This window comes from Homo sapiens, chromosome 2, assembly GCF_000001405.40.
Source record: "Homo sapiens chromosome 2, GRCh38.p14 Primary Assembly".
Taxonomy (NCBI): domain Eukaryota; kingdom Metazoa; phylum Chordata; class Mammalia; order Primates; family Hominidae; genus Homo; species Homo sapiens.
In genome coordinates this window covers 213,476,995-213,499,602 of record NC_000002.12, presented here as the reverse complement: position 1 = coordinate 213,499,602, position 22,608 = coordinate 213,476,995, and the positions used below count along the sequence as shown (strand labels likewise).

Sequence of the window (22,608 nt, the reverse complement as noted above, 5' to 3'; positions counted from 1 at the left end):
CTAAATAAATTTTAAAAGAGAGGGTGACAGCTGGTGATAGCCAGGTTATAAGTAGATAATACACAGTATGTTGAAAAACCTGGCTATAGAACTATAGGCACTCATAATAACTTAAGTCATGCATTCATTCTTTCAACACATATTAAGTCACTTCCTATCTGTCAGGGACTATTCATAGTGACAAGATATGATCTGTGCTCTCAAGAGTCCTTACTGTGGTGTTGGGAGACACAGACACAAAAATAAATCATTAGAATCCATAGGATCTGTTCTATGCACCCCTGTATTATGCATTTTCTATGTTATGTACCTAGTATCAAGAGAACAGAAAGGAGCTCTAGTATAGTATAGAAACATACTTTAGGTTGCTTGAATATTTGCAAGTGGAAAAAGGAGGTAACAGACATAATGGTCAAAGGAACATGAGCCAATGCATGAACACATGAAGGGATTTCATTGAATATAGAGCATAAGGGGTGCAGAAGCAAAGGACACAATAGAACTAGAAAAAAAAATTGGTTAGAGCTACATAGGGAAGAGCCAAATGTGTCTTAAGGGCTTGAAAAATAAAGATTTTAAAGCACAAATAAGATATTGGATCTCTATTTTAGAAAGACTACTATGATGGCAGTAGGAAGGATAAATTCAAGTTGGAGGAGTGACTGGAGGCAGACCATGGGAAACTGCTGGGGAAGCCTAAGTGACAGATGATGGTCTTTGACAGACGTGAATGACTGAACAACTCATTTTGGACATAAAATACACAGGCTTAAGTGATGGATTGCATGTGACAAATAAGTGGTAAAGAGGATGTTAAAAAGACTCACAGGTCATCTTAGATGACCATATGGATGATAATAACATTAAATAAAATGGGAGAAAGTTGGTGAGCATGAAGATGAGGAAAATGATGAAAAAGGAGAGCTGGTATTGAGACCTGCTAAATTTGAGGTGCTCACAAGACATGCAAGTTGAAATGTCCTATTTCATGAGGTACTCTGAATTAACAGTCATTGCAGCTTGGGATAATGTCAGGAGTTTAAAAATTGAAATCAGAGCATCAATATTGTTTTATATGTTTGGTGTATAAATCTAATAAAAGTTTTATTACTTTCTATTAGACTATAAAAGCACTTTTAATATGAAAAATTTAATGATATAAACCAATATGACAATATCATTCTCTAGTCATGGCCCTATAAGAAATTGCCAAAATTGGTTTAAGATTTAGATCTATGACACAGGCACTGATGTTTACAACCCATTCATCATAAAAAAAATAAGTAAGTCAATTATGGGATACCATTCCACATGCATTGACTTTAACACGGACTAAAGACATTGGTTTCACCTCAACTTGCCAAGACATTGGCAAATGGCAATTACTACTGCCATTACTTGATGGGTGCTTCACCTAAATCAAAACTACTGATTGCTCATACTTCACCATGTCTTGCCACCTTTAATTATTTAAACAGAATAATGAATACATGTGTGAATATAATATAGTTTGAAATACTAAATAAATTTTCAAAGAGAACAAGAGATATATTGGTACTTGTTCTAAACCATCTTCTCTGACATTCTGCATTACAAAGATTAACCTTTGCTTTGAACTTGCATTTCCCTTTCTGTTATACAGTATGTAATAGGAAATACCAGTATGTAGCTAAGGAGGAAGCTGGAGTGAGAGATGCTTTCTATATTTATTGGAATATTCTTAATGTATTGTCAGTCCATGGAAATAGACCTGCCTTACCATAATAATATACTCCAGAAAAAGTTTTATGTAAAAATGGAATGTCTTAATTTTTCAAAAACTGAAACTATATCCTAAGGCAGAAAAGCATAGTTTCATTTCTTACCAACCGTAGTTAAAGGGTGGGATTTTTATGTATTGTTGGCACTACACATAATTGCTATATATAATTATAGTATGGCCAACAATGCCTTCTTATAGGTCACTGTGGTTATTAATATAGATCTAGATAATTAAAAGAGAATGAAAAATGTTTACAGTCCCAGGAGGGCAACTGTCGGTCTATCACCGAGTCTATGAAACACTGGAATTGAAAATGCTCTGTGCATCATCTGTGACCAACGATAAAGCCTTTCCATAATTTTGGCTGTGAGTTGACCATAAAAAAAAAAAAAAACAAGGTAGAACACCTTCTGGAAGATGATAGTTGCTCAGGTTTTAAAACCCAATGTCTAAACAAACTTACTTTAAAGTTGAAGACAAACACATGCAATGGCTCTAAAGACAATCTGAAATAAATCGAAAATTGAATCTACTAATTAGATAATGTATTTATTCATAGAACACACCCCAAAAAGATAAATAGCTCATTAAAATGAATGTTTATATTTGCTGCATATTGTACACCTTTCTTCTTAAAATTTAATGGCATAAATATTATTATTTAATAGAAGATAGCTGAATACCTTAGTACTTTGATAATAAACTGTAAAACTAGCAGACTGTATCTTTATATTATAGAAAATATTTTAAATTATTCTGTAAAATACTTATAAGTAATGATCACAAGTGTTTCAATTGTATGTAATTATCACCTTCCTAAGGGGAATTTTCTTGAAGCTAAATGGAGTATAAGTTCTTTCTCTTAGAAATGCAAAATTTAAATATAGACTTGGCTCTAATATATTGTTTGTTTGTTTTGATGGGATGTAAACATAAAAATTACAACATAATTTAAGCTTATTCTAAATATCCATTGGAAAAATACATATCTATAATTATTTTCAAAATATTTAATTTCAAAACTCACATTTTAAAATATAACATACTCTCTTGAAAACATATAATTTAATTAATATAGTTTATATATGGATATATATAATTAAGTACTTAAGCATTATATATATGGATATGTATATATGGATATGTATAATTAAGTACTTAAGCTTTATACTTAAAGCTTATATTATACATATCCATATATAATAATTAAATTATATGTTTTCCAAAAGTTACATTTCTATAATGCCCATATTTTCACAGTAAAAGCTACTTAGTAACTTTATTTCTGGTGTCTGTTTCAATTAAAATACAAGGAATAGTACTGACATGAACCTGTTCGCTAGGCAGCATACACAGTTATGAACTTTGTTCACAGCACAGTCCAAGGTGTCCTATGTATATCTAAGTTCACTTAGAAGTTTAATTACCATCAATCATTTAACATGTCAAACCTGTTCAAACCTGTTCCTCCCTCAGTCTTCCCCATATAAATTAATGGTCACTCTATTCTTCCTGTTCTCAGGCCAAAAACCTTGGAATCATTCTTAAATTCTTTCTTTCACTCCACAACCAGCCCAACAGAAAATCCTGTCGACTCTCCTATCAAAAAAATAATGAAAATCTGACTATTCATTAGCCTCTATATCACTGTCAACTTACTCCAGGAAACCTTATACTTTTCTTGGATTACTGAAATAGTTGCTAACTAGTCTACCAGCTTCTATTCTTGACCCCTATAACAGTATAATTTCCTCACAGCAGTTACAGACACCTTGTTTTTATGTATGTAAAACTGTGTAATTCTTCTGTTCAAAATCCTCTAATACCTTCCTGACATTCTCAGATTAAAATTCAAAGTCCTCTTTACCATGATTTATAAGGCCCTAAGTCACAGGCTCTTTGATCCCCAAGTACATAACTTTATATTCCCCCTCCTATTCTCCAGGGTCACTTATTCTGTCCATGCCGGACCCCTTGCTGTTCCCACAATATTTTGGATATGCTCCCACCTCAAGGGCTTTGCATTTGCTGTTCTCTCTGACTCTAATTTTCTTCCTAGTGCTCCACATGTCTCACTTCATCACCTGCTTCAGGTTTCCCTTACATATCACTTTCTCAAGAAAAGTCCCGGTCACTCTCTTTAAAACTGAATTCATCCTACACTCAGTTTCCCTCTGTCTCACTTTATGTTTTTCTACAGCATTTATGGCCATCAAATACAGCATGTGTTCACTATTGGCTTATTACCTCTTCCTTCAATCAATGTAATCTCCCTCAGAACAGATTTCTGTCTAGTTAGTTAACTGCCCAGAGTAGTGCCTGACACGTGTTCAATAACATTTTTTTGTGTGAATGAGTGAATGTGAAAATCTCTTCAATATTTTTATTTTTAAAATTCATTTATCATATGTGGCCTAACATCTAATTTCACAAAGAGATAGCTCATTAGTCTGGAAGATTAAAGCTTGATAAAGTTTGGAGAACTCTACAACCAACAAATGTTTCAGGGAACCGTGCTTCTTCTATCACATGGCTTAGAACTTTCAAAGTCAACAGTGAATCCCACTGGAAGTCTTAGGGGTTAGGTCTGGAAGTGATATGCACTGCCTTTGGTCATTTTTAGGCACATGGCCAAATTCCCAAGTTCAATTCCAAACTGAAGATATAATCTCCCAATGGGCTCAGAGAAGAGGAAACTGGATTGGTGAGCATCTACCCATCTCTGCCACACATAAACTAGGAAAACACTGCATGCCTACTGAGAACCATGAATGAAATAAAGTAGAATGAAAGGACTGAAAGTGACTAAGGGAGTGAGGAATAAAAATATTAGCTACATTTTTCAGGCACTGCCTCTCTGAGGAGGTAACATTTGAGCTAAGAGAGGTTAGAATGAGCTAGACATGTAAAAACTGGAGAAGTAATACTGGGAGTCTGTGGAGAAGGTAGTGGAAAGACCTTGGAGTAGGAATAAGTGTGGCATGTTTGCAGAATAGTGAGAAGACTGGTGTCATTGAGGAGATAGGGCAAGGGAGAGTGGGAGAGCATGCAGCCAAGGAGGTAGGCAAGAGTCTCATCTTGCAAAGGCCACACAGTAGTAAGTTTGGGTTTTATTTTTTCAACAAGGGGAAGACATCATTGTATTTAAAGCAGGAAATCTGATGATCTGATTTACATTTTCAAAATATGTTTGGCTATTGTGACACCAGTGAATTATTGTGGGGTAAGACAGGGTAAATTAGGAGGCTTTTGCAAGAGTATGAGAAATGACCACAGTAATACAGGTAGAAAGAAGTGGGGAAAAAATTAATATATTCTGGAGGAAAGACCTATCAGACTTTCTGGTAGATTTAATGGTGGGAATTGCAGGGTGAGGGAATGAGGAATTAAAATGACTCCTAGGCTTTTAGCTTGAGTAAGTTCACACAGATTTGGTACGTTTGCAAAAATGAGGGAGATAAGGAGAAGATTAGGTCTTTTGGGGGAAAACCAAAGTTATTTTTTGGACAGATGAAAATTTGGAGAAACCTATTAGATATTCAAGCTCAGGAGAGACATCATGGTGGAGACACCACCATATGGAAAGTATTTAAAGCCAGAGAATGGAAGAGGCCACCTGCAAATGAGAGTGAAAAGATGAAGCTATAAAGTTGAGTCTAGGGCCAACCTATCAACCAGAAATCTGGCCAGAGAGGAGCAGCTCACTGAAGATGCTGAGAAGGATATGAGCCTGGGAGTCAGCAGGAAAACTAGAATCATGCAAATAATAGGAGTCAGGAGAGGAAAAGCAGGAGTGGTCAGAGGTGAAGAAAATGAGAATGAGTGAGTGATGACTGGTGGTGGACACGGGGAGTGGCTAATGACCGGCAAGAGCAGTTTCAGGAGAGGAAAGGAAGAGAACCCGATGGCAGAGGAGAATGGCAAGGACAAGTGGAGGCTATTAATTCAGTCCGCACTTTTGTCAGCCTCCTTAGAGACAATGAGCAGGATATGAGGAAACAGCATAGGTTTGATGGGGAGTTCTCCGGATAAGAAAAAAAAATTTTTAAACAACTTGGCCACAATGGTGAAACCCTGTCTCTTCTAAAAATACAAAAATTAGCCAAGTGTGGTGGCAGGCACCTGTGGTCCCAGCTACTCAGGAGGCTGAGGCAGGAGAATCCCTTGAACCTGGGAATCGGAGTCTGCAGTGAGCCGAGATCACACCACTGCGCTCCAGTCTGGGCAAGAGAGCGAGACTCCATCTCAAAAAACAAAACAAACAAACAAACAAACAACTAGTGGCAGTCACTGAAAGACATGTTCTAGGCTGATGGGAAGCATCGTGTAAGAGTAGAAGAAAGACATCTACCTAAATCAGAGCTCAAAAACTCTCTAAACTAATTTAATTTAAAATCTGTCTGGTTCTTTGGCCTATGAAACCATACTCTATGAAAATGCAAACTAGTAATACATCAATGATTTTTAAATTACCTGGATTTTAATATGCATTTATTTTATTATGACCTTGTTAGAAAAACATTATAAAAACACATTTTGATAAATCTGTTTCTCCAGAGGGGAAAAAAACATAATTATTCTGCACTTAAACACAATCTAACTACTTATTTTAATATTTAAGTTTATAGCAATTATCCTAGGTCGTGCTTGTCATGCATTTTGCCCAAATCATAGGTCATATAGTTGTGTATTACTGGCAAAATTGTATGCCCAACTATAAAAGCAGAGATTTTTTTCATTTTGTTTATTTAAAATAATGCATGGCTTATTCACTATTTTGTAGTTTGCCTTTGGGTTAACCAGATCTGACACAAATTCTTTCTTTGTGATTCGCAAGGTGTCTGAGTCTCGTATATGTATGTGACAGAGAAGGAGAAACGAGAGAGAGAGAGAAAAATAATAACTGCCTTATAGAAATACAAAGGTCAGACATAGTGTGTGTATACAGCAGCTGAATCCTGGCACTTATAGAGGCTTAGCAAAGCATTGTTATTGATATTATTTCCATTATCATTGTCATTACTTTTACTGCTATATTTTTGAAGTTAAGAAACCTACACACCATAGCTGAAGAACTTTCCTTCCACTGATGGCAAATGAAAAACAAAAATAAATTTTAAAAATACATAGTCCCCAAGCACAAAAAAAAAAAAAACAACTTTCTTTTTTCCTTAAAAAAGTATATAATTGGGTCAATAAACACTGTATTGTAGACTTACTAAGATTCTGTATGTGTATGTCTGTAGAGGGGGTGGTATCTGTTTTCTTTTGGTTGTTTTTTTTTGTTTTTTGAGACAGAGTCTCGCTCTGTCGCCTAGGCTGGAGGGCAGTGGCACGATCTTGGCTCACTGCAAGCTCCACCTCCCGGGTTCATGCCATTCTCCTGCCTCAGCCTCCCGAGTAGCTGGGACTACAGGCGCCCACCACCACACCCAGCTAATTTTTTGTATTTTTAGTAGAGAGAGGGTTTCACTGTGTTAGCCAGGATGGTCTCAATCTGACCTAGTGATCTGCCCACCTCAGCCTCCCAAAGTGCTGGGATTACAGGCGTGAGCCACCACACCCGGCCACTGGTTTTAAAATTAAGAACACAGATTATGAAACTATTTGAGAAACACTAACAATTTTAAATTGAGTTTTATATTATGTCTAGTTAAGGACTGGTAGTATAGAATGAGAGTACAGAGAAAGAAGTCGCAGAATAAACTACTACTTTTGCCATGTGTTTGGGAGACTGACAAACACACACAGCAAAAAAAGAAATAGTAGTATAAGGAAGCAGAAAATGAGACCAATTGGAAATGAAGTAGACAGGCAAAAAGTGTCCCATGTAAGTAAGTTGTCCCAAAGTCACAACTTAATCTTCCACTGCGGTATGTTACTCTAAGAGACTAGTGATTATTTTTCCTTTACCGATTTATTTTTCTACTAATAAACTAATAATGTGACAGCCTTCCCTCCTAATAGGCTAACTAGTGAAGATTGTTACAAAACCATTATTCCTTGAGTTGCAGTAGTAGTAATCAGGACAGCTGTCTTTCCAAAGGCTGGAAATAAATTAAGCTGAAATCCATATTTTGCCTTTGACTGAGAGCTAAATGTTTCCCTCTGTTTCTTCTCCACATTTTCATTTAATAGAAGCTTTTCCCTTAACCTCCACTTAATTGCTGTATTGACTAACACGTTCCATTATCTCCACAAAACACACAAGCTGCACTCACTGAACCCCAACTGCTCAGAGCTCTCTAATCACACAAGTAGACCAGCATTGGCCACTCCCATCAGCCAAGGTTCATGATTGTAAAGAGTCCCAAGAGTTTGGTCCTAAACCTGTTTATAAGCCAGTTGTGTTTGTTATTGTAGTATAAACATTAGTTATGGTGATGAAATATGAGAAGGATAAACAGAATTACTGTCAATGAAAATTAATGTTACAAAAAGGTGGGGAGATCATCTGAAGTTGTCTGAAGTTCTTATTTTAGATAAAAGAAATGACAAATTGAAATTGTAGAAGATGCATTATTGGCATGGCTTAGGTAAGAAATATTGTGTAGAATTCCAAACGATAGACATATAAGAAAAAGTCACGACCTTACATCAAAAGACTAGCATATGAATGTACAGGCACTTGTTTTACATTGAAATAGAACACTAAGGTATAAATGTATCATTTTTATGGTTCCCTTTACTAACAGACCTTTTCAATTCATTCACCTACTGCTTTTGGTTATGACAGAAGTATTCATATGTGCTATGTTCTCACGACATATACCATAGACAATATTCTTGCTATGAGGAAATAATCAAACAAATGGGGTTTAGGAAGTAGATTGCACATGCCATATGGTCATCAAGAGCAGAGGAAGCTTTGCAAATGAAAAAAAAATACTCACTATAGGTAAAATATATGTGTTAAAGAGTGGTTAATGTCTCTTCTGAGTCATTAGTCCTCCTTAAGTATAATAGGAGCAATTACAAAACAAATGCCATATATTTTTGTATAAGTCTTAGATTTCTTGAAGAACAATTACATAAATTTGGGACTCTATGACCAAATGCAAGAAAATAATGTTACTTATATAAACTAAACCATAATTAAAATGATGTATCCATGATTATCAACAAAAGCTGGCCACTTAATGAAATGTAAATGTACCATGGAATTATAAGGTTTATATATGCATATTTTCTACAGATTTTTTGAATTTTGAATAAAAATACTCTCCATTTTATAAGATTTAAAATAAATGTGTATGAATATAAATACGCAGATTCATAAAACAATTTATTTCAATAAATGTTGAGTAATACTAAGTCTCATCTTTAAACCTATGTAATTATAGTTCACAAAATTACAGTCCTCATAACAAACAAGTAAAAAGAACTTATTAACAGGGAAAAAGTACATTGGTAAAATTGGTGAGTAAAATAAACAAATGAAATGTATAGTTGCTGAGATCCTATCTTTAAAGTAATCCTAGAAACTTCTCTAAAAATGATTTGTGCATTTTTACTCCAACCTCTACAATAAAATACACAATAGTGCACTTAGTCTGTACTGCCACCAAGTGCTTAAACCAATTACTTTTAAGATTCTTACAGCTACTATAAGCAGATTCTTTCATGCTATGAGTAGCAATTTTGAAAGGCTAAAAGCAAACCATTTCAACCATGAATGGCTGTAAGAGCATTAAAATTTTGACATGAAAATAAAATCTCAAAAGTATTAATAAAACATCAAAAATCCTACCAGCTCACTGGAAGTTCATGGAGTCTAAAAATGTTTTTCAGCTTGTAGTCAAATTTTGCTGGAGAAAGACTTTCTTTAGAAACATTCAGGTTTGGATTTGGTTGCATATCTATGGGAAATTCTGAATCCTAGAGAAAAAAATTAAACAAGAGCTCTGTGTTAAATATCAAAATCACTGCACAGGTTGATACTCTGATTTAATATTAAATTACAACATAAACATTATATTTGCCCAGAATTTACATGAAGTCCTTCATTTCCAATTTTAGTTTTGAGAAAATATTTAAAAAGATAAAATTTTAAATAAGGCAAATATCAATTTATATAACCAATTTCAATTCTAAGCCTCATGTTACATGTTAAAAATTACTTGAAAATACTCCCTATTTGAATTCCAATGAAGCACAATATAGCATTGTCATATATTATTGGTTAATTGTCTTTTTTTAAATAAGCTTTCCAGGCCCAACCGTAGTGTCAGCAGTCGAAAGTCTACAATTCTTATGCCCCTTTTGTCCCCTATAAATGGCCGACTAAAAACACTTTCATTGGGTAACAAAGTTAACATTTGCTAATTGATTGATTATGATTTTCTTTTTAAATCTAAGGACACAGTACTAATTTAAAAACACTTACTGAAAGTAAACCATTTCTATTAATCCTGTCAAATCACACATATTAGAATCCACATCTGTCATTTCTTGGTCACCGCCCGCTCCACCAAGCAAACCATAGCTACAGATCAAAGAGCATTTTCAGTCCATGAGAAAGTAGTCCTTCCTCAGTGGAAAAAAGACATGCTACAAATAAGCACTCAACACATAATGAAGGATAGAGTAATTGCTTAACTGTACTCAAAAAAAGAAGTTATGAATCCCCTTACAGCTAATTCTTTAAAATTGCTCTGAGAGAAGGCTCATATCATGAATTTTTGCACCCATTTACTTATTCAAAAATTATTTATCTCAAACATTATTTTAGGCATGAAAAATCTTTTTTTTTTTTTTTTCGTTTTTGAGATGGAGTCTCGCTTTGTTGCCCAGGATGGATTGCAGTGGCGGGATCTTGGCTCACTGCAACCTCCGCCTTCCGGATTCAGGCGATTCCCGTGCCTCAGCCTCCTGCGTAGCTGGGACTACAGGCGCGTGCCACCACGCCCGGGTAATTTTTTGTATTTTTAGTAGACGGTTTTCACCATATTGGCCAGGCTGGTCTCAAACTCCCTACCTCAGGTGATCCTCCCGCCTTGGCCTCCCAAAGTGGTGGGATTACAGACGTGAGCACCGCCTCTGGCGTGAAATAATATATTTCTAATTAACAAAGTAGTACATATTCGTATAGAAATTTTCTGCATTTCATAATTCTGCAAAAACTTAAAAGCTCGCTTAGTCTCACCACCCAGATATAAATACTATTAACACTGTGGTTTAATTACTTAATTTTTTTCCATCTTTCTCTCTCAATTTTTACAAAATTGGAAGCACGCTCTATTGTCTTCTCTCGTTTTTCATTTATCATTGCTGCATTTTCACATCATTTAGTCTGTTTTGAAGGAATGATGAATGCCACATTTTACTTATTCAGTGATTTTTGTCTCTCTTATGGTTATCAATGTTATGAACAGAGTTTTTGGTCTATAAATCTGCACTTCACTAAGTATTTCCTTAAAGCATAGTACTAGAAGTGTAAATAATTCAAATAGAATAAATATTTGAGAAAAACATGATACCTTTTCACAGACTGCTTTTTAGAAAAGCTGTACCAATTATACTGCTGCCAGTCATGTAGTACTGTGTGCAATTTACCATATCTTTGTTAATGGCGTATACACACACGTGCATACACACATGCACTTAAAAAAATCCATTCTTTCAATAGTTATTTCCTTTGAATAATATTTATTATTGAGTGTCAATTTTATGACAGGCACCAGTTTCAGTTCTTTTAATATATCACTAAACAAAATAGACAAAATTCTCTCCCTTATGGAGCTTACATTCTAAAAGAAGTAACACCTAGGTCAATATAAATAATGAACATATATACTATTTTATATCTGTAAAATAAAAAGCCTATGGAAAAAATTATTGCCAATTCATATATAATTAAGTTAAACATTTTTATATTTGTTATTTATTTGCTTTACTTCATTTTTTCTGAATTGCATATTTATGCTGATTGCCTATTTTTCTATTGTTTTGCTGGTATTTTATTTTAATGATGATGCTTGGGTTGGAAATAGGGGAAGGGTAAATTACTATGTTAGAAAATATAGCAAGATGGATCCAAATCCAGTCTTATATAGTTGTTTGAACTTCATGAAAATATCTGAAACCATAAACACAGCAATTTTTATAAGCATTGTTAAACCAATAATCATAGAAAGAGGTATTTAATACGACCTAATCAACTAGGTCCTGCTGCCTACTTAGTAGAGCTAATAAAATAGTAAAATATAATGATAACTGAACAACTATTTAAAAAAAGATTTACATCGAGAGCGGCAAAACCCTAGTAAAAACAATCCAATCTAAGCATAGATTCACTTGCAGAGGTAAACATTAGATTTCTTATATCACCCAGCCTATGTGCTGAAATATTTCAGGAGACAATGGCCAATACATGGGTAGGCAGGATCAGTGAGGTAAATGTGAGATACATAAATAAGGACAATGTGTGCAGGATAGAAGAGGTAAAATAAATCTTAAAATTATTCTTCCAAGCAAAAAAAACATAACCTTTTTTTGTATTGACAAGATACAATTGGAAGGCAAAGCTAAGCTCTCAGCAGTGTGCTTTAATAGTTCACTGGTCTTAACTCAAAGTGCACATTGAACTCACTAGGCAGCTTTTTAAAAAAATACCAGTATCACTGAGTCACACCCCAAATAAATTAAATAATAATTTGAGAGTAAGGCTCTGGCACTCATGTTTATTTTAAAGCTTTCTATGTGAAATAAAAGTCAGGGTTAAAATAATGGCTTTCCTTAGCAACTCAGCTCCACCACATATAAGTGTGAACTTAGGCAAGCTATTTAACAAGCTTTCAAAATATATATATATATTTCTCTCTGTAAAATGCAACCCCAATCATACCTGTCTTAAACGCTGCATGAAGATGAGATAATCTCTGCAAAGCATTCATCACGTTAGTCACCTAACATGTTCATTAAATTCTTAATAAACATTATCTATTTATATTGCTATTTTTATTATTTCTGCAACTAGTGGCATGTTAATTTCAGCTGGATAGCAAATTCATCATGAATTGTTTCATACTCCACTTATTTATTATGAAATAATTCTATATTAATCAAATTATAAGTTTAATATTCTCCTGGGATATTGATTGAAGCAGACTTGATTTTGACATAATCTTACTGAATCCCAGTTTCATAACCAGTTAATAGCTGGCTATCTATATATGTCTCAGTACCAATAATAAAAGAAGTTATTGCTTTATGGGCCAGTTGGAATTAAATATAGTCTTACATTTTAAAAAATGGAAAACCTGTGCTTGGCCTGTTTCACTTAACATAATAACTTTCAGTTCCATCCATGTTGCTGCAAATGACAGGATTTCATTCTTTTTTATGGCCGAATAATATTCCATTGTATATATACCACATTTTCTTTTTTCACTCACCCCTTCATGGGCACTTAGGTTGATTCCATATTTCAGCTATTATGAATAGTGCTGCAATAAACATGAGAATGCAGCCATCTCTTCATTATATTAAGTGAAATACGCCAAGCACAGAAATAAAAATACTGCATGTTCTCACTCATATGTGGAAGCTAAAAAAGTGGATCTAAGAAGACAGAGAATTGATTGGTGGTTACTGAAGGCTGAAAAGATCAGTGGAGAAGGAAGGATGGAGAGGTTGAATAATGGGTACAAATACATAGTTTCATAGAAGAAATAAGACCTAGTGTTCTGTAGATCAGTAGGGTGACTCTAGTTTACAATAATCTATTGTACATTTCAAAATAGCTAGAAGAGAATAATTCAAACATTTATAACATAAAGACAAACATTTAAGGTGATGGGTACCTCAATTATACTGATGTGAACTTTACAAATTATATGAGTTTTCACATGTACCCTGAAAACAATTAAAAATAATAAAATATTTTCAATTTCAAAGACCCAATGGGTACCTCTTTCTTAACTTGAGTAATACATCAGTTAGGCATCCCACGGGAAGCCAAGCTATCTATTAGGCCTCTTTCCCCATGAGTCCCTTGAGTACCCAGGTTTCCCCCAGACCCTAGATCTGTGCCACTCAACAGAGGTCTGCTTCCCTATCTTGTTATTTGCTGTTCATTGAACTAACATTCACAGGAATTGCCCCAAACAATTTTTAAGTGGAAGTGAAAAATTATTCAATCAGGCATTCTGTCAACATTTGAGTATCTACTCTATTTCAGGCACTATGTTAATTACTAGGTCACAAATATAAGTAGAATACATTGCTTCCACTCCAAGGATTCACAGTCCTGTGAAGGACACAGCATAAATGAAAAAAAAAAATGCATCACTGGAAAAAGCTAGAGTAGAAATATGCAAAAGATAATAAGCAAATAAAGAAGCAATAAAACTATTGGAAAAGAGGAGATAAAATGATCATTAATTACAGATATGATTACACTGATAGATGTTTAGATAGATAAGCCAAAAGGAAAAAGAAACTAAAGGGACCATATTATGATGGCTGATTACATCTGACAAATTATAAAATTAGTAAGTTTCGCTAGTATGCAATGAATTAACAGAAGATATAAAAGAAAAATATTGTCTGGGTGCAGTGGCTTATGCCTGTAATCCTAACATTTTGGTAGGCCAAAGCAGGTGGATCGCTTGAGCTCAGGAGTTCGAGACCAGCCTGGGCAATGTAGTGAAACCCATCTCTACAAAAAATACAAAAATTAGCCAGGCATGGTGGCTCCCACCTGTACTCCCAGCTACTTGGGGGGCTGAGGCAGGAGGATCGCTTGAGCCCAGGAGGCGAAGGTTGCAGTGAGCCAGGATTGTGCCACTGCACTCCAGCCTGAATGGACAGAATGAGACGCTGTCTCAAAAAAAAAAAAGAAAAGAAAAATATTCCACTAACTCTAACTCTAACAGCAATCAGATAAAAATACCTACTAGAACACTAACAAGAAATGTGTTAAGCCTAAAGAAAGAAACTACACTTTATTCAGAGATATAAAGCAAGGTCTTATTAGTATAGATAGTCCATGGACTCAGAAAGTCTGCTGATAAACTTCTGAAGAAGTTCGATTTAAATATTCAATTCAAGTCAAAATATCAACGTGAATCTGGGAGCAAGCTTATCTCTTGCAGTACCTAATGTTGCTTACACTGATCAATACTATTGGGAAATGATAATTAATCACTGACCATTTAAATTAATTTTTAAAAATAAAAAGTTAAAAGATATTTTAAGATATATATTTTTAAAATAAACACCGTATTAAAAGAGATTTTATATGGCTTTTCTTTCCTTGTCTTAATTTCCCATGTGGAGAGGAATTTACCAAAAATGGAGACGTTTTGCTTAGGCTTCTGTGCCCTCATTATTTCATTCATCACTCAAATGGCCCATTACCCGCTGACAAACTTCACACATCACTACCTAGGAGTGACTGACAGCTGACATTATCAGCAAGGCTTGATTGAGCTAATTGACATTCACAATCTAAGTATGAAAATACGAATGGGTCAGGAAAAGTCTTTCTTACTCATATATCTATTCAATTACTTGACCTTTATGTTTGTCTTCATTTCTTGGGCTTTAGACTGTAGGGAGAAGGATGATATTTGCAAAATGATGTTTCCCAAATGTACTTAAATATTTTTAATTTAGTACTCCTCAAGTATCTAATTAGTCTTTAAAGTTTCTATTCTAGATGTTTATATAAAACAAAATAGTTTTATTGTATTTTAAATTTATCCCTGAAACTTTTTTAACTTTGACTCATATAAGATAAGGCTGAAGCCATAAAATGAAAAAAAAGATGTACAACCATAAACATTCACTTAGAAACTTCACAGCATCATTATTTTAACATTATATTTCTTGACTAAACTTCTTATTTGTGTCATAAACTAACGAACAGAGATAAAAGATCTGCTTGATTTAAAAACATAGGAAATGGTTAGATTTATGTTTTCTTAGTATGCACAGTATTTTGCATAGAAGGAATTATTTTAAGAAACACTTTTAGAATACAATTAAAGGCTAACCCACAAAAATTGATATGCTTAGAAAATATTTAGCTTCTAAAGTTAAGTAAGTGCCTATTTTTACTATGTTGAAGAATAATGACTATTACTTTAAAACAAACTCCCGTTAGTCAATTTCAACAGTTCTCCCAAAAGCAAGCCTCTGACAAGGGCATCAACATTATCTGGGGACTTACTTGCAAAGCAAATTCTCAAACCCCTTCCCAAACTTACTAAATCAGAGTCTCTGTGAATGGGGCCCAACAATCTGTTTTCAGTGAGCTTTCTAGGTGATTCTGAGGCTTGCTTAAGTTTGAGAATCCATCTGCTCAACAACCCATCTTTCGAAATTTAGCAAACAGTTAAAAGATTTATAAAGCCTATCTGTAAGCATTAATATAACAGGTTCAATATATATACCATGTAAATTTGTACAGGTGCTCTCATACACTGCTGGTAATAATGCAAACTTTCTAGAAAGAAATTTGGCAATATGTATCAATTATGTTAAATAATGACCAAACACCTTCCATAATTAAGTCCATTTCTAAAAACGTACTCTGAGAAAATATTCAGACCAATTTGCTAAGATCTACATATAAAGTTTTCTATGCATCGTTATTTATTATAGTGAAGGACTAGAAACACCTAAATTTCAAATAAAGGGTGTTTAATTTGATTGAACCATAGAATGCCATGCATCCAGATGATGAAACATTATTTAGTTATTAATAATAATATTCATGAAGAATACGGACATAGGAAAGTGTCCACTTAATATAAATGATATATGTATATTTACACATATATGTGTGCAACTAAAATAAAGTGTGTCCAAATATTAATAGCAACTAACTTCATATGCTTTTTACTTTATAATATTTTGTATTCATTCATTTCTGCATATTCAAATTTTTCTATAAGGAATTAATGTTACTTTTAACACAGAAAATCATGGAATTAAATATGTATGTAATCTATAAATACCATATTTAAAAGAATATAAGCAAATTAACTTAATGGCTTATCTATTTAATATTCTTTTTCCTCTAGCATAAATGGGCTTTGCCACCTTATTAACAATCTGGTTCCTAGATACATAATTCTACACTCTAATCAGAACCGTGATTCACAAAGCCTTTTTCTCATCTATTACCAGACTCTGTGTCAGGGAGTAATCAGATATTTCAAATTGCATGTTCCACTGATGGTTTATAATTACCTAAGAAGAACATAATTATACCTAAACCTAAATCTCAGTTTATTAGTTAATAAAAATGAACATTTTTAAATAAATAAATAAAATAAAAATTCTAAATAAAAAATTAGAAGAATCATTATACCATTTGATTTTATAAACCTCCTCCTTCCTACTAAATAAGAAAATGCTTATAATCTTACTACTGTCAAAACCCAGCACATGGCACTAATTTTTGCTGCTGACATTTCCTTAAACTGAGACAAATTCAGCATCGGGATGTTTAGTAGTTTTAGAGTTATTTACAAATGTCAGTTCTGTGCCCTCTTGTACCTAGGTGTGGCCATGTGATTTACCTGATGAATGAAATGTGAGCAAAAGCAACATGGGGGCAAGCCTGAAGTGCCAGCATGTGTTTGGCCACCCCTTTGTGCCCTTCATTTGATAATATGAAAGTATGGGGCAGGAACTCCCATCCAGCCTGTGGTCCTCAGTGATTATGATGAGCGAAGCTCCCTTGCACAATGTAGTACAAGAGAGATATATTTTGCTGTTTTAATCCACTGAGATATTTGAGTTGGGTTTTTGTGCAGACACCAAAATTTCAAGTTTTAGATAAGATCATACATACTGAGAAAAAGTTTAGGGAAGTCTCATTTTCTCTTCTCATTACCAAGTCAGGATATCCTATTACTGTCTGTAATTCCCAATTATAGTATGTATTTCAGTGATGTTCTGATGCTTCCTTCATTTACAAAAATCACTGCAATGGCAACCTTAATAAACTTGTGTCATAAAGCAAAGAATGAAGTCTGTGCCCTTCTCTTGCACAGACCTTTTCTGAGAAATGGGAATAATGATCCAATTCATTTGTGTTCCTTTTACTAAAATTTCCCTTTGGGGAATGCAAGAAATATTCTGTTCACTATGCACAGTGCCAGAGGGCAGCCAGCTGGCATAGTTCCTACTACTGGCACAAAGAGGACACACCTGGGTTACTTATCCCTCTGTTTCTTTGGAAGCCATACTGGTTGCCCCCATAATCCCCAGGAGCTTAAACAGAGGCTAAACAAAATTGAAGCAGGATTCAGGAGGTCAGGGGGCACTTACATAGTATGTAGTTATTGCTTATGGGTAGCTACTAAAATACAGGTGTTTATTTTGCTAATGGTTTCAAGTCAAGTCAGTTCACAGTTGTGATAAATGGTTATAACAACTTTTAAAACCTTATTAAAAACAAAAAATGTAAGCAATTAATTGAAAGATGACAAAAGTCAATGAATTGGACATTTATCAATAAAAACGTATTCTATTAAGGTTTAGAAAGTAAGGCAGTTTCTCTACTAGCAGTTTACTTTGAAAATGAATGAAGACTTTCTAAACTTTTATTAATTCCTCTTACCTAGCAGCATGTAACCTAAAATTGATAGAAGTGGAAATTTCAATGACTTTTAGATTATACCTCTCTCAACATAATTTTTATTTAAAATAAACAATTCTGTAATCTCTACAAAACAGAGACCAAGAATAAGCCTTATAAAGGTTAAATTTGCCTGAAGATGTATCTGACCAACTAGAAATTGCTGAATTGAATGGCTTGTCATGTTGCGTTCACTGCCTAATATATTCTTTAGTTGGCGGGCTTCCAAAATGAAGAATAAGCACGCATTTTTGTAATTGAAATTGCAATACAGCTCAGCTATCTTATCCTGACTTTAATGCTAACAGGTTAATAATTACAATTTAATAAATATTATTTCTAAGTTATTCAATTTTTCTTTTTGATAAGCTTGTTATGTAATAATAAAAAACATCTGAAAGGGTCAGTTACATGTTATATGTAAAATAATCCTGGACAGTAAATTATAACTTCTGTTTAACACTATGATAATCACATAAAAGTGTTGCAAACCTAAAAATATTCAAAGGGAAAGTGTACAAAATAGAAAGACAGGTAGCCAAAAGCATATGGAGGTTCGGAAAAGTGTGTGCCATATGATGACACAAGTGATCACTTCTGTCAATACTGGGTGCTGAAATAGTGCTAGACAATGCTTTACACCAAAGTGAATTAATGTAACAGCTTTTGAAAATGGTGACCTGTTTCTAACAGATTTACTAAATTAAGAATTCATAGATTCACCTATTTCAGGTATGGTATTACTCTGAGTAAATGTCAAAGATTTTCTGATTAGTTTTGTGGATAGAAAGTATGGATGATATTGACATCTCTTCCCTGCTTTAATCTGCTTCCATTCCTCAAAGGCAAGGCAAAACTTTGCTGTAGCAAGGCTAACTTATTTGCATTATTGGCTAAGGGGATATGCCTAATAGTACTGTCCCAACCAATTGGCATCTGTTTGCTTTACATGCCCAGCTATAAATGCAAGTTTATGCCCAAAGTTATAGCATCTTAGCTAACTGAAAATTTAATTCTCTATAGATGTCCACAAGGATTATCTTTGTGTGGGTTGGCAACTTAAAATGTAATAAAATTCCACAGTAAAATAACTAACTTCTACTATTAGCTACTCAAGATACTTGATCTTATTGTAAGCTTCCATAATTTTATCTTCTTTCTGATAATGCATGCTTCCATACTTCTTATCTTTGAATTTTAAGTAAAGTTGCAGTTATGTCTATTTAGAGCAGAGGTCAGAAATTCAAAAGCCAGGCATCAGAAAAATAATTCAAATGAATGAACTAGGTGGACATATGAAGAGATATATTCTACATGTTTAACACGTAGATCACCTCAACATGGAAACATGCTGTCCCCCTTGTTTCAATAAACATATAACTTTCTTGATCTTTCTTTATCCCATGTTACCCCCTTTTGATATAGATATGAGTACTAGACATAGTTTTCCTCTTTATTGTAAAAAAAAGAATAAATATGAAGATAAATGCCAATGCAGATAAGGCTCAGCACTGGGAAGACAAGTGTGGTGGTGATGGCTGTAGAGGACCGAGGAATGCATGCATGTCTTGCCTAAAGCACCTGTTGCCTCTCAGTTCCAACAAATGGTGGAGGATGTAGGAATGTAAGCCCAATGTTAACAGATAGTGCTTTTTTTTCAAAAGGAGCCATATATTTGGGGTTTTCGTTGAATCATTCAACAAATATTTATTGATAGTCCTAATTTATCAAGCATTATTCCAATTGCCTGAAATACACTAGTAAACACACACACACACACAAACAAAAAGATCTCAATCCTCATGTAGCTTATAATATATTGAGGAGACAGAAAATAAATAATAAACATATACAAGTATATCACATAAAATGTTAGATTAAAAATGCAGTAGAAAGAAAAAGCAGTGTAAGAGAGACTGGAAGTACATGGGGAGAATTTTTTGGGGCATGATGTATGAAATTATACATGCGGCAATCTGGCGAGGCCTCATGGAGAAGGTGACATTCGATTAAAGACTAAGACAGTGATAGAGTTGACCATGATGATATTTAGAAGAAGAACATTCCTGGCATAGGAAAAAGCCAGTTCAAAGTCCAGAATTTAAGAGTAAATGTGGCATTTTACAAAAAAAAAAAAAAAAAAAAAAAAGGAAGCCAGTGTGCCTGGAGAAGAAAAAGAGAAAAGAATACATGTTTAGGTGAACTAGAATAAATTTTTAATGCTGACAGTAAATTTTTATTATAATTATTTAACCCTGAGAAATGTCAACATTGGGAGGACCAAACAAAATGCATCTATGGACTGCCAATTTTCTATCCTTATCCTTGATTTATAACTCATTAAATGTATTAAAAACCCTTAGTAAGATTATTTAAGACTATTGGTTAAATTGAAGATTCTTAAGAGTATTCAGAAGATGAATGGATAAGAATAATTAAGTGAAGCCTCCTTGATTTTAGCTTCCCCCTCCCACCACTCACAGAGTAGGAATATGGCAGAATCTTCCAGAACAGTCACATAGTTTTTATTAATTCATTCAAAAAAATGAATTAATGTATTAATGTATTAATGTGCAAATAGCAGGCTAAATGCCTGGGATACGGAACTATGAAAGGCATTCCCTGATATCAAAGTTCCTAAAGAGAAACTGTTGCTAGTGAATCACCATCCTCGAGAGTAGAGAAGAGGTGGTAATTTTGTAATAGTAGCTACCATCACATTCATGTTAACAGGCCACAAGAACAAGCCACACTTAAAAATTTTCTATTAGTACAAAAATAGTACTCCTATTTATGACATTACAGAATTTACAAATCCCTTTCACATATACTGCTACATTGATATAGACAGTGTTTTATTTTGCTAGCTAGACTTAAGATATCTAAACAGCTCAGGTGGTTTGCTTAGTGAAGTCAGAGTAACTTGTCATAACCTCATGACAAAATTTAAATGTACCTGTTTAATATTCTTCTATCTTTATATGACTTCTGATATACAACCCTGTATTAGTCCATTCTCACACTGCTATGAAGAAATACCCAAGACTGGGCAATTTATAAAGAAAAGAGCTTTAATTGACTCAGCTCCAGATCGCTGGGGAGACCTCAGAAAACTTACTATCATGGCAGACAGAAAAGGAGAAATAGGCACCTTCTTCACAGGGCAGCAGGACAGAGTGAGTGCAAGAAGGGGAAATGCCAGACACTTCTAAAACCATCAGATCTTGTGAGACCCACTCACTATCACAAGCACAGCATGGGGGAAACCACTCCTATGAGTCAATTATCTCCACCTCTTTTACCCTCAAAATGTGGGAATTATGGGGATTACAATTCAAGATGAGATTTTGGTGGGGCCACAGAAACTAACCATATCATTCTGCCCCTGGCCCCTCCCAAATCTCATGTTCTTATATTTCAAAACCAATGATACCTTCCCACAGTCCCCCAAAGTCTTAATTCATTTCAGCATTAACTCAAGAGTCCAAGTCCAAAGTCTCATCTGAGACAAGGCAAGTCCCTTCCACCTATGATCCTGTAAAATCAAAAGCAAGTTAGTTATTTCCTAGGTACAATGGGAGTACAGACATTGAATAAATGCTCCCATTCCAAATGGGAGAAATCGTGAAAACAAAGGGGCTACAGGCCCCATGCAAGTCTGATCTCCAACAGGGCAGTCATTAAACCTTAAAGTTCCAAAATCATCTCCTTTGTCTCCATGTCTCACATCCAGGTCATGCTGATGCATGAGATGGGCTCCCATGGCCTTGGGCAGCTCCATTCCTCTGGCTTTGCAGGGTATAACTCCCCTCCCAGCTGCTTCCATAGCTTGGTGTTAAGTGTCTGTGGCTTTTTCAGGTGCATGGTGCAAGCTGTCAGTGGATCTACCATTCTGAGGTCTGGAGGATGGTGGCCCTCTTCTCACAGCTTTATTAGGCAGTGCCCCATTGATAGATACAGGAGACAGACAAATTCATAGGTGGACAGGGATGGGTCCCTGGTGAAACTTGACCTTCAAGCCAAGGATAGCCTAAAGCCTGAAAACTGAGCTTCCAGTTCCAGATAGAGTCTAGGACCAGAGTGAAAACTGCCATCCCCATCTTATCTACTCTCTCTCAGTTGATTTCTTCTGAATGATGCCTTTTAACCCATCAAATGATGCCTTTTTCGAGCCCACCCATGGACCAATCAGCATTCATTCCCCCATTCTAAGCCCATAAAAACCCGACTCAGCTTCACAGATGGCAAC

The 22,608-nt window shown here is 34.6% G+C and overlaps 1 protein-coding gene across 20 annotated transcripts in view; it reads right to left on the bottom strand.

The window, feature by feature from the left end:
* SPAG16 (sperm associated antigen 16) overlaps positions 1 to 22,608 on the bottom strand; it is a 1,126,038-nt gene that overhangs the window by 910,899 nt on the left and 192,531 nt on the right. For all 20 annotated transcript variants that reach the window (NR_047659.2, NR_047660.2, XM_011511814.2 and 17 more), the window contains one exon: positions 9,513 to 9,640. Coding sequence is in view for 18 of the 20 variants with exons in the window: in XM_011511814.2 (XP_011510116.1) it covers positions 9,513 to 9,640 (128 nt within the window). In the remaining 2 variants the exon portion in view is untranslated. The remainder of the gene's footprint in view (positions 1 to 9,512; positions 9,641 to 22,608) is intronic.